The sequence below is a fragment of the Homo sapiens genome, chromosome 1 (genome assembly GCF_000001405.40).
Source record: "Homo sapiens chromosome 1, GRCh38.p14 Primary Assembly".
In the NCBI taxonomy this organism is placed as follows: domain Eukaryota; kingdom Metazoa; phylum Chordata; class Mammalia; order Primates; family Hominidae; genus Homo; species Homo sapiens.
In genome coordinates, this window is record NC_000001.11 from 27121739 (window position 1) to 27136436 (window position 14698).

At 51.2% G+C, this 14698-nt stretch overlaps 1 protein-coding gene across 4 annotated transcripts in view, besides 2 other annotated features; it reads right to left on the reverse strand.

Moving 5' to 3' along the window:
• SLC9A1 (solute carrier family 9 member A1) overlaps positions 1-14698 on the reverse strand; it is a 56317-nt gene that overhangs the window by 22930 nt on the left and 18689 nt on the right. Inside the window, exons 3-4 of one of the 4 annotated variants that reach the window (XM_047428769.1) lie at positions 14124-14209; positions 12773-12980 (exon numbers count right to left, since the gene is read on the reverse strand). The exons of the other annotated variants lie outside the window; for them this stretch is intronic. The gene's annotated coding sequence lies outside the window, so the exon portion shown is untranslated. The remainder of the gene's footprint in view (positions 1-12772; positions 12981-14123; positions 14210-14698) is intronic. 4 annotated transcript variants of the gene reach the window in all.
• Positions 920-1214: an enhancer, noted in NCBI's record as "tiled region #8944; HepG2 Activating DNase unmatched - State 8:EnhW, and K562 Activating DNase unmatched - State 5:Enh". NCBI's record gives its function as "activates a minimal TATA promoter and a strong SV40 promoter by Sharpr-MPRA in HepG2 and K562 cells {active_cell/tissue: HepG2 | K562}" and the evidence as "EXISTENCE:reporter gene assay evidence [ECO:0000049][PMID:27701403]".
• Positions 14106-14175: an enhancer, noted in NCBI's record as "active region_538". NCBI's record gives its function as "activates an Ori minimal core promoter by ATAC-STARR-seq in GM12878 lymphoblastoid cells {active_cell/tissue: GM12878}" and the evidence as "EXISTENCE:reporter gene assay evidence [ECO:0000049][PMID:35858748]".

The window sequence follows — 14698 nt, forward strand, 5'->3', positions numbered from 1 at the left end:
TTGACTCCAGTGACCAGAAGTCCCCAAATCCCACCTCTAAGCAAACAGCAGGAAACTCTTCCTCACCTGGAACTTCTACCCACCTTTCAAAACTCAGTGGAGGGCCGGGCGCAGTGGCTCACACCTATAATCCCAGCACTTTGGGAGGCCGAGGTGGGTGGATCACCTGAGGTCAGGAGTTCGAGATTAGCCTGGCCAACATGGTGAAAATCCATCTCTACTAAAAATACAAAAAATTAGCTGAGTGTGCGCCTATAGTCCTAGCTACTCAGGAGAGTGAGGCATAAGAATTGCTTGAACCTGCAGGCGCAGGTTGCAGTGAGCCAAGATCGCGCCACTGCACTCCAGCCTGGGCGACAGAGTGAGACTCCATCTCAAAAATACAAAAACGAACAAACAAAAAACCCCAGTGCAGGTGTCACCTCCTCTGGGAAGCCTTCCTGGAGCCACACCCCCGCCCTCCCCAGGCTGAGTCAGGTGCCCCTCCAAACTGAGGAGCTGTGTTCGGTGCCTCAGCCAGCCTGGCATCCCAGCACACAGCTCTGGACCCCCAAAAAGTGATGCTCAGAAAACACGGGTTAAGGGAATGATGAACACTTCCTGAAGGATGTAGGACTAGAGTTTGGTCTCAAAGGTGGGTGACTAAAGGGGGAAGAGTGTGAACAAATGAAAAGAGAGGGGACCTCAAAAGCCTTTTGAGGATCCTGAAGCCTGCAGCCAGCCTGGAAATGAGAGTGAACAGTGCAGGAGATGCTGGCACACAGGCCTGACCCGGGCAGATCAAGGAAGGAACTGAGTCAAGGAGCCTGAGCCAACAGAGCAGGCCTCAGAGGGTCCCCTGACCTTCAGCCTGGCCCTGAATGCCCCATCCTAGCCTGCAGCCTGGTTCTACCACCACCAGCCTTCTCCCTGGGTCTCAAGGACCCATTTCTGTAACCCCTATACCACTCCAAGCTGGGGCAGCACCTCTTGGTAACCAGCCTGACCTTCCCAATCATCCAAGCTCTGCATAAACATTTGTTGAATAAATTTCACTCCAGCAGATTGCCCCTCCCCCTGCAGGAAAGGCACTGGATCAAGAGTCCCCATGCAGTGAAGCAGAGGATGACTCACAGGGGAGAGGGAGGGACAGGGACTGGGACCGGCAGTAAAGAGCCCGTGTTGTGTTGACAAGAGGCAGAGCTCCAACAGGCCCAACAGTGCCTGGCAAGGGAGAGGTGCCAGGCAGTGGGGTGCTTACCTGGGGAGGGGGTTACCTGGGGAAGCGGTGGGGGGCAGCTCAGGGGGTCGGCTTTACTTGGGGCAGGGGTAGGACCTCAAGCTCCAAAGACTCTCATGGCTGGATTGGGTGTCTGGTAGGTGACCATATGATACACACTGGTTTCTTTTGATTTTCTCAAAATGGAAATATATTATATTGCTTTGGTGATTTTAAATAAAACTTATGGTCATTAAAATTTTTTTCTAACAGTCATATAAGTGTTTAAGTATAAGGAAAATCATCTCACAGTGATTCTCCCCCTTCCCTTTTACCAACTATACCAGTCTCCCCCACAACCGAATTTCTGTTAAGTTTGGTATATATTCTTGAAGACTTTTCTGTATCTATAGGTTATTTAAAATTATGTGTGAATGGTAAATCACACATGCTGTGCTTCAACTGCTTCTATGGGGCAGAGACTGCACTAAGTACTGAGGCATCTCATTTAATTCTCTCAACAACCCTAATGCAGTAGGTATAATTATTATCCACTTTTTATTTTTATTGGGCTTTTTTTTTTTTAGACAGAGTCTCGCTCTGTCACCCAGGCTGGAGTGTTGGAGTGCAATGGCACAATCTTGGCTCACTGCAACCTCCGCCTCCTGGGTTCAAGTGATTCTCCTGCCTCAGCCTCCCGAGTAGCTGGGATTACAGGTGCCCACCACCACACCTGGCTAATTTTTGTGTTTTTAGTAGAGATGGGGTTTCACTATGCTGGCCAGGCTGGTCTTGGACTCCTGACCTCAGCTGATCCACCTGCCTTGGCGTCCCAAAGTGCTGGGATTACAGGCGTGAGCCACCGCGCCCAGCCCTTTTATTGGGCTTTAAAAAAAAATTTTTTTTTTGAGACGGAGTCCCGCACAGTCACCCAGGCTGGAGGGCAGTGGCACGATCTTGGCTCACTGCAACCTCCGCCTCCCGGGTTCAAGCGATTCTCCTGCCTCAGCGTCCTGAGTAGCTGGGATTACAGGTGTGTGCCACGCCCGGCTAATTTTGTATTTCAAGCCACCATCTCCCTCCTTTCCTTTCCCAGTGTCCCGGATGTGTGGCTCCCCAGCTCAGGTGCTCCGTTCCCCACTCCATCTCTATCCCTGGCCTGTCCTTGCCTCTTGCCAGACTGCTGTCAGGACTTACAGATGGTATCAGGTGCTCCAGGTACCAGTTTGCCCCACACCTGGGGTGGGGCAGAGGTGGGGGAAGAAACAGAGGCTCAGTAAGAGAGCTTCCATTTCTAGAAACTTTAGAGCCATGGGAGAGCTAGATTTTTCTTTCCTCTTTGCTGGGGGTACAGTAGAGCTTGCAAAATGCAAATCTGAGAGAAAAAAAAAATTGAGTATACCAAATATCTGTTGTTCTTAGTATTGCTTCCAGTTGAAAGTCAGTTAGCTTAGAAGCTTACCAATGTGTTAAATTCATTATATATAACTTCAACTTGCTTGAAATCTCATCCTACTTGGCTACAGAGGTGGAATATAAAGAGGTACCAGTAGGAAAGCAACACAAAAAGAAATTCTACAATTTCCAGGACAATTGCCCTGCAGAAAGCAAGTCACAGTGTCCTATTTTCAGCACTACAAGGAATGCGGGGGACCGCAAAGGAAGAACAAAACACAGGCGGCACTGGCTGGGTGGGGAAGACAGACCAGCAGCCTCTGGGAGGCAACTGGGGCCCCTTCTATCCCTAGTAGCTTTATCAGCTTTATGGGGTCTATTGTGTGCCCTCACAGCATCTGAGGGCAGTGATGAAGAAGGGGTGTTAGCCATCCTCCACTTGGACATTTTAGTGACCTCTCAGAAGGGCCAGAAAAGGATCAGTGAGAGAAAATGACTCTCAGGGGACAGAGCCTGGAGTAGGGCAGAAAAGATGGGGGGCCTTCCCAGAGGTGGGGGCATGAGCATCCTTAGGCTGGTGTGTTACGGTGTGCATGGGGTGGACTGCAGAATGGCAAATGCACAGGAGCTGGGTGCTCCTGACAGGAAATTCTTATTTTCTCGTCCCCAAACCTGCTCCTCAGGCCCCAAATTTTGGAGTTGTCCTAACTCCTTTCTTCCTCTCACTCCTGACATCCAATCCATCACCAAACCCTGCTGGTTCTGCCTTCTAGACATGAACAGACCCTGACACTTCTCACCGCCTCCACTGCTAACACCCATCCAAGCCAGCACAATCACTTGCCTGGACCACTGCAGCAGCATCCAATCAGTCTCTCTTCTCTTTTCCTTCCTTCCTTTTCTTTCTTTTTTTTTTTTTTTTTTTTTTTTTTGAGAAACAGTCTTGCTCTGTCATCTAGGCTGGAGTGCAGTGGCGCAATCTTGGCTCACTTCAACCTCCGCCTCCTGGGTTCAAGTGATTCTTGTGCCTCAGCCACCTGAGTAGCTGGCATTACAGGCACATGCTACCACACCTGGCCAATTTTTGTATTTTCAATAGAGACAGGATTTCACCATGTTGGTGAGGCTGGTGTCGAACCCCTGGCCTCAAGTGATCTGCCCACCGTGGCCTCCCAAAGTGTTGAGATTACAGGCCTGAGCCACTGCGCCCAGCCCACATATCCACTCTTGCCCCCCAGGCTCTTCCTACACCAGCCAAGAGTGAAGCTTTTTTTTTCTTTTTGAGACGGAGTCCCACTCTGTCTCCAGGCCGGAGTGCAGTGGCGCAATCTTGGCTCATTGCAACCTCTGCCTCCTGGGTTCAAGCGATTCTCCTGCCTCGGCCTCCTGCGTAGCTGGGACTATAGGCGTATGCCACCACGTCCAGCTAATTTTTGTATTTTTAGTAGATGAGGTTTCACCATGTTGGCCAGGGTGGTCTCGATCTCTTGACCTCGTGATCCGCCCACCTCAGCCTCCCAAAGTGCTGAGATTACAGTCATGAGCCACTGTGCCCAGCCAAGAGTGAAGCTTTTTAAGAGGTAAGACATACTACTGAAAGGCAGGGACTACATCCCCCTCCGCGTCTTTCCACCACACCTGAATCTCCACTCACTGTCCCCTAGCTCTACTGGCCTCCTTGCTTTTCCTTGAGCACAAACATGCCCCCACCTCAGGGCCTTTGCATTTGCTGTTCCCTGTGCCTGAGACACTATTCCCCATGTAGGTGAATGACAGATTCCCTCCCTTCCTTCAGGTCCCTGCTCAGATGCCACCTCCCCAGAGAGGTCCTCCCAACCCTCTCTATCCGCTTACCCTTGCCACTTCCTGACGTCTAGATGTGCTTTCTGACCGTTCCCCACCCAGAACATAAGCCTCGTGAGGGCAGCCTCTGTCCCAATCACTGTTGTATCCCTGGCACCTTAGGCTGTACCTGGCACACAGGAGGTTCACAATCAATGTTTGCTGGATGGATGACTTTCTCTTACCTCAGTGACCTCACAAGGTTGTGAGGATTACATGAGACCACAAACACAAAAGCACTGGGCGAACCACAAGATGTTGTCGGGGGGGTCACCATCAGCTTGTCCCTTGGAGAGCCACTCTTCCAAGGTGCTGCTCAGCAGTTTTTCCTAAATACCCCAGGGAGCAGAACCCAGTCACGCTCAGTTCTGTGGCCTGCAGAGCCTGGGACCACACAGCCCTCTATTAAGAGTCTGATGACACGGCACAGCTGGTTGGTCTGTCTCCCCCTCCAGACCACAAGCAAGTTTCTACCTGCAAGCAAGGCTAGGGACCCTGTCCTATTCATCTTTGACTCTCTAGGCCTCAGCACGGAGCCTGACACATAGTAAGGATAAAGACTTGTTGAGCTAGCAGAACTGTTTGAGGGCAGAAGTCATGTCTGGTTTAACTTTTTTTCCTTCCCTTTTGTGTATATATTTTTGGGTTTAACTTAATCTCCAGTGTTTGGCACTAAGCACATGGACACTAAGCTCCAGCTGAATTGGCCTTTTCCTTGAAGGAAGGGTGAGAGTTAGGCACCAAGAAGGCCTGGCAGGCAAATCAGCAGCATCTGGAAAGACAGGACAGGGAAACGAGTGTGGTACAGGTAGAAGATTTATTTTTTGCGGGGGGAGGGGGCAGGGAAAACAGAGTCTGGCTGTGTTGCCCAGGCTGGAGTGCAGTGGTACGAACATGGCTCACTGCAGCCTTGACTTCCTGGGCTCAAGTGATTCTCTCACCTCAGCCCCCCATGTAACTGGGACTACAGGCGCGTGCCACCATGCCTAGCTAGTTTTTGTATTTTTTGTAGAGATAGGGGTTTTGCCATGTTGCCCAGGCTGGTCTCAAACTCCTGAGCTCAAGAGATCTGCCTGCTTTGCCTCCCAAAGTGCTGAGATTACAGGCGTGAGCCACTGAGCCCAGCCCAGGTAGAGGCTTTCTATTGGAGCAAATGGCAGTGGACTGGAGTGGAAATCATTACTTAGATGCTGTAAAGCAGACTTTTCTCTCGCCCTCACAACATGCCCTGGCAGTGGGCAACAGATGAGAGAACAGACATTGAGAGAGGTCCAGACACAGGCCCAAGATCACATGGGTAGCAGCGGAGGCAGGTCCCAAACCCAGAACTACTGACTCCCAATCCAGCGCTCAGCCAAGGCCAGTTATGAAAGGCCACAAATACCCTGCAGGGAGAGAATTCCCAATCACCCTGCTGAGCCAGGCAGAGCCACTGGAGGGCTCTGGCCTGGGGAACAACATGAAATTCTGCCACTTCAGGGAGGTGGTCAAGGGAGACAGCGCTGGCCACCCAGGCTCAGCACCTGGCATAGGGCAAAGTTGTCCAAATGCACAGCCATTTAGTCTCAGCTCCAGGGACAGCTGGCACTGCCTCCTGCACAATACCAGCAGGATGGGTGAGCACCCCCTCCATCCTACCTCCAAATGCCTCAAAAGACCAGAAAACTACAATTCTGAGAAAAGAAAGGCCTGAGTCAAGCCCAGGCTGGGGATCAGGGGAACTGGGCTTCAGTCTAGACTCAGCCACTAACATTCTGTGGGCTTTGAACAAGCCGTTGCTTCTCTTTGGTCTCAGTCTCTCCATCCTTGGGGGCTTGTTGAGAGCCTCTCTACCTCTGACATCTGACTGATGAACTCTGCAGCTGGACAAAGTCGGGCTCTGTGATACTCACCATCTCTGTCCATGCCAGCAACTGTGGCATCTGGGTACAGAATAGCATTCGTGCCATAGCAAGCTTGCACGAGGCAGCAGCGGGCAGCGTAAAGAGCTCTGGTCCATCAATGAGGGAGGTAGTTTCTGTCCCAATTCTAAATCTTAACTTCTCTGTGACCTAATAAGGCAAATCACGGTACTGCCCTGAACCTCAGTTTCTTCCTTTCTAACATTGGGATAAAGAATGTCTATGGCACAGCGTTGCTGTAAGAGGAGAGAACAGAGACAGAAACACTCAGAAAAAAGCAAAAACAAAAATATATGCCCAGGCCAGGGGAGGTGGCTCACACCTGAATCCCAGCAGCGGGGGAGGCCGAGGCGAGAGGATCACTTGAGCCCAGGAGTTTGAGAGCAGCCTGGGTAACGTGGCAAAACCCATCTCTACAAAAAATTTAAAAATTAGTTGGGCATGGCTGGTGCATACCTGTAGTCCCAGCTACTAGGGAGGCTGAGGTGGGAGGATCACCTGAGCCCGGGAGGTTGAGGTTTCAGTGAGCCGAGATCATGCCAACTGCACTCTATCCTGGGCAACAGGGTGAGACCCTGTCTTTAAAAAAAAAAAAAAAAAAGGCCAGGCGTGGTGGCTCATGCCTATAATCCCAGCACTTTGAGACGCCAAGGCGGGCGGATCACCTGAGGTCAGGAGTTTGAGACCAGCCTGGCCAACATGGTGAAACCCCATCTCTATTAAAAATACAAAATTAGCCGGGCGTAGTGGTGCATGCCTGTAATCCCAGCTACTTGGGAGGCTGAGGCAGGAGAATCACTTGAACCCAGGAGGTGGAGGTTGCAGTGAGCCGAGATCCTCACGCCATTGCACTCCAGCCTGGGCAAAAAGAGGGAAACTCCATAAACAAACAAACAAACAAACAAACAAATGCATGCACGCACGCACGCATGCCAGACACTCCCGTGCAGATCTAGATTCCCAGAAACCAGCAGCGGCAGGGTCCCAGAGGCAAGCTGGCAGCACTAGGGAGGCAAGAGCTTCTCCTAAACAGGCACCTGAGGGGGAAGCTGTCCAACTGCACAGCATTAAGGCTCCATGGGCAGCAGGCACTGCCTCCTGCACAATACCAGCAAGATGGGTGAGCTTTCCTGATACTGGATCCTCTATCTCAAGGGGGTCCCCTAAGGGTCTCCCATACACTTCTGATAACGATCCAGCTGGCTGGGCTCTGTGTGGTGGGAGAGACAGGGCATGCTTGGAGGGCCTCTCCCTGCCTCCTCTCCCACCACACTGGGGATAGTTTGTCACTTCAGGCCTCTAGGAGCCACGAGATGTAGAGTGGATAGGAGAACTGAGCATGCTCAGAGGAGGCTGCCCTTTAGAGGACACTGCAGAGAAAAGATGAGGACACGGCCAGCTGCAGGGCTTGGTCCTGGTGCCAGGAAGGCCCAGGGCTCTAGAAACAGCAATGGGAGGTCAGCTCTCTCCTGTGGGAGAAGAGGGGCAGCAAGAAGTCAGAGATTAGAAGAGGGAGGGCCCTCTGAGACCATCCAGTGCAACCCCTCTATTTTACAGATGCAAAGGATGAAGCCCAGAGAGGGGACGGAACTTGGTTGACGTTACACAGCAAAGTGGTAGCAGAGCTGGCACACACACCCAGGATGGTCCACTCCAAAACTGGTCCTTGCTTGGAACATGGTGCCAACCCCCCCATTCCACTCCCACTTCTTTTTTTTAAACTACCTTCTATTGAGTGCCTCACTTTGATGCTCTGTATACTTCAATCACGATTCTCCTAGCAGCCCTCTGACACAGGGATCACCCTCCTCATTCTACAGCTGAGGAAACCGGGGCAGAGAGAAATGGTCTGACTCCAGAGCCATGGCCCCAACCATGCTGCCTGCAGCTCTGAGCCCCAGTTTTCTGGACCAAATGGTGGGTGTGGGGAGCAGGAGCCCTGGTTTATTGCCAGGTCTGTCACTCCTTTGCTGTGTGACCTTGGGCAGGTCACTCACCCATTCTAAACTGTTGGTCTTTCATTTTGTTTGTTTGTTTGTTTTTTGAGACAGAGTCTCATTCTGTCGCTCAGGCTGGAGTGCAGTGGCACAATCTTGGCTCACTGCAACCTCCGCCTCCTGGGTTCACGCGATTGTCCCGCCTCAGCCTCCTGAGTAGCTGGGATTACAGGCGCCCGCCACCACACTCGGTTAATTTTTTGTGTATTTTTAGTAGAGACAGGGTTTCACTATGTCGGCCAGACTGGTCTCGAACGCTTGACCTCGTGATCCGCCTGCCTCGGCCTCCCAAAGTGCTGGGATTACAGGCGTGAGCCACCGCACCCGGCCTAAACTGCTGGTCTTTCTAAGATCCCTAGCAGTACCAGTGTGCCCTGGTTCTGTGTGTGCCTTGCAAGGAGAGAAGCAGGAGCTATTTGGCACCCTAGTAATGGGAAATGGAGCTCCACTGACAGCAGCTCCCCAGACTGGGTCTAGCCTGCAGGCCTCTGCTCAAAACCCATGTGCAATGCCTCAGGAGACACAGTGCAGCCCTCCAGCACATGCCACTGTGGGAAGGGAGAATTACTACGAAGCCCTGTGCCTTCTCATTTAGCCTCAGCAATGCCATGAGGTAGACACTACTGTTTCAATTTTCCAGTAGAGAAATTGAGGCTCAGAGCTTAATGAACTAGCTCAAATGACACACAGCCAGGAAACAACCAAACTGGTATTTGATCCCAGAAGCCAAGCTCTGCCCTCAAGCCGGGCCTGGTTAACTGCTTCCTGCTGGCACTCTGGTCCTCAGGGCACAGGTTCTAGAGCCCACTGGTGATAAGCTGAGCACAAAGGGCCAAGGGCTCCAGGCAGGCTGAGAGGTTGCCTGCCTGCCTACTTGTCTGCCAACCAGTTCACCCCATAGAAGTGCCCCATGCCCAGGAAGGAGATAAGGAAGCCTTTGTCAGTGCCCACTTCCGCCTGGCCTGTGCTGGCTGCTGAGACTGGGCAGGGCCCATCGTGTGATCCCACACATGGCACTGGCACAAGGTGTACATGCCTCCCTCCAGCAGGGCAGGGGAGATGCCTGGGGCAGCCAGAACTGGGGAAGCAGCCACCACTGGGCAGGACAAGGAGGGTCAAGAATTCAGGCAAGAGCCGTGGTTCTTTTTTCTTTTTTGCCACCCACCCCCAGACCATGGTTCTAACGAGCCCTGTCACGCAGCGTCCAGTTGAAATGGGGATGTTAATAATAATGATAGTGGCTGGGTGTGGTGGCTCACGCCTGTACTCTCAGCACTTTGGGAGGCTTAGGGGGAGTGGATCACTTGAGGTCAAGAGTTCAAGACCAGCCTGGCCAACATGGTGAAACCCCGTCTCTACTAAAAATACAAAAAAAAAAAAAAAAAAAAAAAAAAGAGGCAGGGCACGGTGGCTGATGCCTGTAATCCGAGTACTTTGGGAGGCCAAGGTGGGTGGATCACAAGGTCAAGAGATCAAGACCATCCTGGTCAACATGGTGAAGCCCTGTCTCTTCTCAAAACACAAAAATTAGCTGGGCGTGGTGGCGCGCGCCTGTAGTCCCAGCTACTCAGAAGGCTGGGGCAGGAGAATTGCTTGAACCCAGGAGGTGGAGTTGCAGTGATCTGAGATCGCACCACTGCACTCCAGCCTGGCAACAGAATGAGACTCTGTCTCAAAAAAAAAAAAAAAAAATTATCCAGGCATGGTGGCACACCCCTATAATCCCATAATCTCAGCTACATGGGAGGCTGAGGCAGGAGAACTGCTTGAACCCAGGAGGCAGAGGTTGCAGTGAGCATAGACGGCACCACTGCATTCTAGCCTGGGCAATAGAGGGAGAATCCGTCTCAAAAAGAAGAAGAAGAAGAAAAAAAAAATATATATATATATATATATATATATATATAAAATTATGGCTACACTTATTGAAGGCTTCTTAATCCTCACAACTATTCAAAGAGGTAGGTGCTATCACACCAATATCACAGATGAGGAAACTGAGGCTCAGAGAGGCTAGGTTACAGGGCCAAGCAGGACTCAAGCCCAGAAACTGACTCTAGAGCAGACAGGTACTCATGCTCAACTACTTCCTCATACGAGCCACAGAGAAAATGATCTGGATGAGTATTTTCTCAATTCTCCAAAAGGAGGACATAACCACAGTTCTCCCAGAATGTTCAAAGGAGCAGGCTGGGGGCCTCAGTATAATGGTGACTGTTGTCATCAATGGAGAGGAAAGAACACTGTCCCTGAGCACCAGTCCCCATACTACCCTCTTTCAGGAAGTGACACTCTGGGTCTCGGGTTTGCTCGGCCATATAATGAGGGGAATGGACTATGTGACCTCAAATGGCTCTTTTGCCCTGACTCCCTAGGATTCAAGGTCACCCGGTTCCACTGCTTTCTTGTGTGTGTGATCCTGGGTAAGTTAGTTACTCTCTCTGGACATCAGGGTCTTTATTTTTAAAATGAAGATGCCTCTCCCCTCCTCACAGGGTCAGGTGAGGACCACTCAAAATGATGAAGGCAGAGAGCCTAGCATAGGACCAGACAAAGCAAGTACTGAAACATGAGGTGGGGGTGCCTCCTACAATTAGAGCAGGACTTTTTCTCATCACTGTTCACTGCCACTGGAATGAGTGTCACTCCATGACCTCATCCTGAAAGCAGATACCAGGGCTGGCAGTCCCTCCCCAACTCCCACCCTAGGCCAACAGGGCACTTTCGGACAGCCCCGCCTGGCTCCCTGATTATCATTGCCACAGTGCTTGCTTAATGAGCTGTGGCTCCAGGGAAGGGCGGACGCTGGAGCACCAGGAGCCATTTCCACTGCCTGGTACCTGGTACTGCACTGTGACGTGGTAGCTAAACACCCGGGAGAGTGGGACCCACCTGGCCCCGTACCATGGAAATCTTATCATGCCAAATGCTTCCTGGGAGGGAGCAGGGTGGGTGAGGCAAAGGCCTAGCCCAAGCCCGTCAGGGTTTTGTTTCCTGATTCTTTTTTTTTTTTTGAGACGGAGTCTCACTCTCTTGCCCAGGCTGGAGTGCAGTGGTGTGATCTCAGCTCACTGCAACCTCCGTCTCCTGGGTTCAAGCGATTCTTGTGCCCCAGCCTCCCCAGCAGCTGGGATTACAGGCATGCACCACCACGCCCGGCTAATTTCTGTATTTTTTAGTAGAGATGTGGTTTCATCATGTTGGCCAGGCTGGTCTCAAACTCCTGACCTCAAGCGACCCACCTGTGCTTGGCCTCCCAAAGTGCTGTGATTACAGGCATGAGCCATCACACCTGGCCCATTTCCTGATTCTTGACGTCAACCTAGGTTGTAATCTCATAAGTATGGGGGCCCCCTCTTTATTTTCCTGAAGCTGAGGAGACCCAAACACTGAGCTAGAAGAAGTGTAAGAGACTACTCAAAGCCAGGACTTCATCTGACTAAGAGGTGAGGGAGTGGGGTCCTGGCTTGACTTCTTGGGGATGGGAGTGAGCCTGGTGGGAGCAGGGAACTGAGGCCCAGGTTTAGAGGTAGTTAGGACGGGAAGGGTGCTATGTGCCCTATTGGGTCAGCATCTCCCGCCCCATCCAAATGGCCACTCCACTGCCTTCTTAGACCAGAGGATGTTGGGCATACTTCACTGCCTGGAAGTCCCTCAGCTAGGGAAGGGGAGAGAAGAACTGGAGCCCTGGTAATTTTTTTTTTTTTTTTTGGGACAGAATCTCAGTCTGTTGCCTAGGCTGGAGTGCAGTGGCGCGATCTCGGCTCACTGCAACCTCTGCTGCCCCAGTTCAAGCAATTCTCCTGCCGCAGCCTCCCGAGTAGCTGGAATTACAGGTGCCTGCCACCACACCCTGCTAATTTTTGTATTTTTAGTAGAGACGGAGTTTCACCATCTTGGCCAGGCTGGTCTTGAACTCCTGACCTCGTGACCTACCCACCTCAGCCTCCCAAAGTGCTAGGATTACAGGCATGAGCTACCGCGCCCGGCCTGAGCCCTGGACATTTTCTAAAGTGCCTTTCCACTGTAGCAGGAAGCCCTACAGTTAAGAAGTGAGTCGGTCAGAGCTGAGCTCTGGCCCAGAGAGAGTGAGAACCCTCCAGGGGAGTTCCCACTGCCCAGGAAGAGGAACAGTGCAGACTCCTGGGGTTCAGAAACCCTTGGTTCAGTTTTGGCTCTATTACTTGCTGGCTCTGTGACCTTCCCTGGGCTACAGTTTCCTCACAGATAAGATGATGGGGCTGGGTTAACTTCTCCAAGCTTTCCTCTAGCTCTGACAGCCCACGATTTTACATAATAACCAGCACACATCACTTTTCATTTTGCTTTGCTCTTTCATGTACATTATTTCATTTAAACCTCATGGTATCTCTCCGAGGGTCCTCCTACATTAAAGATGAGAAAACCAAAGCTCAGGGCATTTAAGCCTGAGAACATACCCAGACAGGGAGCAACAGAGCCAAGATTTACACCCTGGGTTCTGGCCAGATCCTGGGTTCCACCTAGAAGGAAATCTGCCCGGCCAGGGTGAACGGCCGCAAGTGACTGGTTTCAGGGTCCATCCCAGACTCTCCCCTCTTGAAGCTGTTCTCTTGATGCCGATAAGGAAACTCTTTCAAAAGATCCGATTTAATTTAAAAAGTTAAGCTGCAAAAGAGTACAGACAGCACGATTTTGTTTGTTTCAAGAGCAAATTGCTCTGTCACCCAGGCTGGAGTGCAGTGGTACAATCTCGGCTCACTGCAACCTCTGCCTCCCGGGTTCAAATGATTCTCCCACCTTGGCCTCCCAAGTAGCTGGGACTTCAGGCATGTGCCACCATGCCCAGTTAATTTTTGTATTTTTAGTAGAGATGGGGTTTCACCATGTTGGCCAGGCTGGTCTCCAACTCCTGACCTCAGGTGATCTGCCTGCCTCGGCTCCCAAAGTGCTGGGATTACAGGCATGAGCCACCATGCCAGACCAGCATGGTTGTTTTTATGCCAAATTTTTTTTTTTTAAAGGCAGGGTCTTGCTCTGTCAGGCTGGAGTGCAGTGGCACAATCATGGCTCACTGCAGCCTCGACCTCTTGAGCTCAAGCAATCCTCCCACTTCAGCCTCCCAAGTAGCTGGGACCACAGGCCTGTGCCACCATGCCCTACTAATTTTTTATTTTATTTTTGTAGAGACAGGGTCTCCCTAGGTTGCCCAGGCTGGTCTGAAACTCCCAGGTTCAAATGATGCTCCCACCTTGGTCTCCCAAAGTGCTGGGATTACAGGGGTGAGCCACTGTGCACAGATTAACATTTTTTATGAAAAAGTGGTTCACACCACTGTAGAGAAAAGCCCAGGATGAACTATTCAGAGTGCTCGGCCCGAGAAGCAAGGGAGTAAAAGGGGTATAACTTGCATTTTTCTTCTTTATATACTTAAGCAGTGTTTGATTTTTTTTTTTATTTCTTCCTTTTTTCTGGAAAAAAAAAAAAAAAAAAAAATCTGGAGGGAAAATGTTCTGAGCACCTGCTCTCTGAGTCAAAATTCAGTACTAAACACTTTACTGTCACAGATTATTTCATTTAATTCTCACAAAACCCTACGGAGTACAAGAATGCTCAGAGCAGCTTTATTCACAATTGTCAAAAAAAGGGAACCAATCCAAAAGCCCATCAACAGGAGAGTGAGCCAACTGTGGTGTATTCATACGAGGCAACACCGAACAGCAATAAAATGAACAAACCTCTGGTACATGTGACAGTGAAGAGGAATCTCACAGATAGGCTGAGCAAAAGCAGCCAGACACACAAGAGTACCTATGATTCCATTCAGATGAAGTTCAAGAACAGGTAAGATCAACTGATGATGATCCAAGTCAGAACTGTGGTTACCCCAGAATTATCTGCAGAAAAATGACACAGGTCAGATAATCAGCCTACAGGCATATAGCAGGCAGGTAGTAGAGCTGGGATTCAGACAGGTCTGTTGGACTCTGCAGTCTCTATTGGCCCCTGACTGCCCAGAAGGATGCCTTGAATCTCCACCTGCAGAGCCTTCTGGGCCCCTCTAGAGGCAGTCTCGCTCCTGGCTTCAGATGTGGGGACCCCCTTATCCTCAGCGCTAAGCACACATCCCTGTGGTTCAGTCACTAAGGGAAGCCTGGCTCTCCAGAAGCCTCAGCTCATGGAGAACTGCTGCTTAACTAGCAAGGGGACAGCAGCCAGGTCCACGACTCAAGCTCTGGGTCTGCTGGGAGCAGGGGGCAGGAGGAGGACTGCTCTGTGCCAAGGGAGGATGCCCAGTGCACACTCACCACTCCTAACTAGCCCTGGCCCACAATAAGGGAATTTCCAAGCAGAGCTGGGCCTGGGCTTGGCCCCGCCCACTGGGC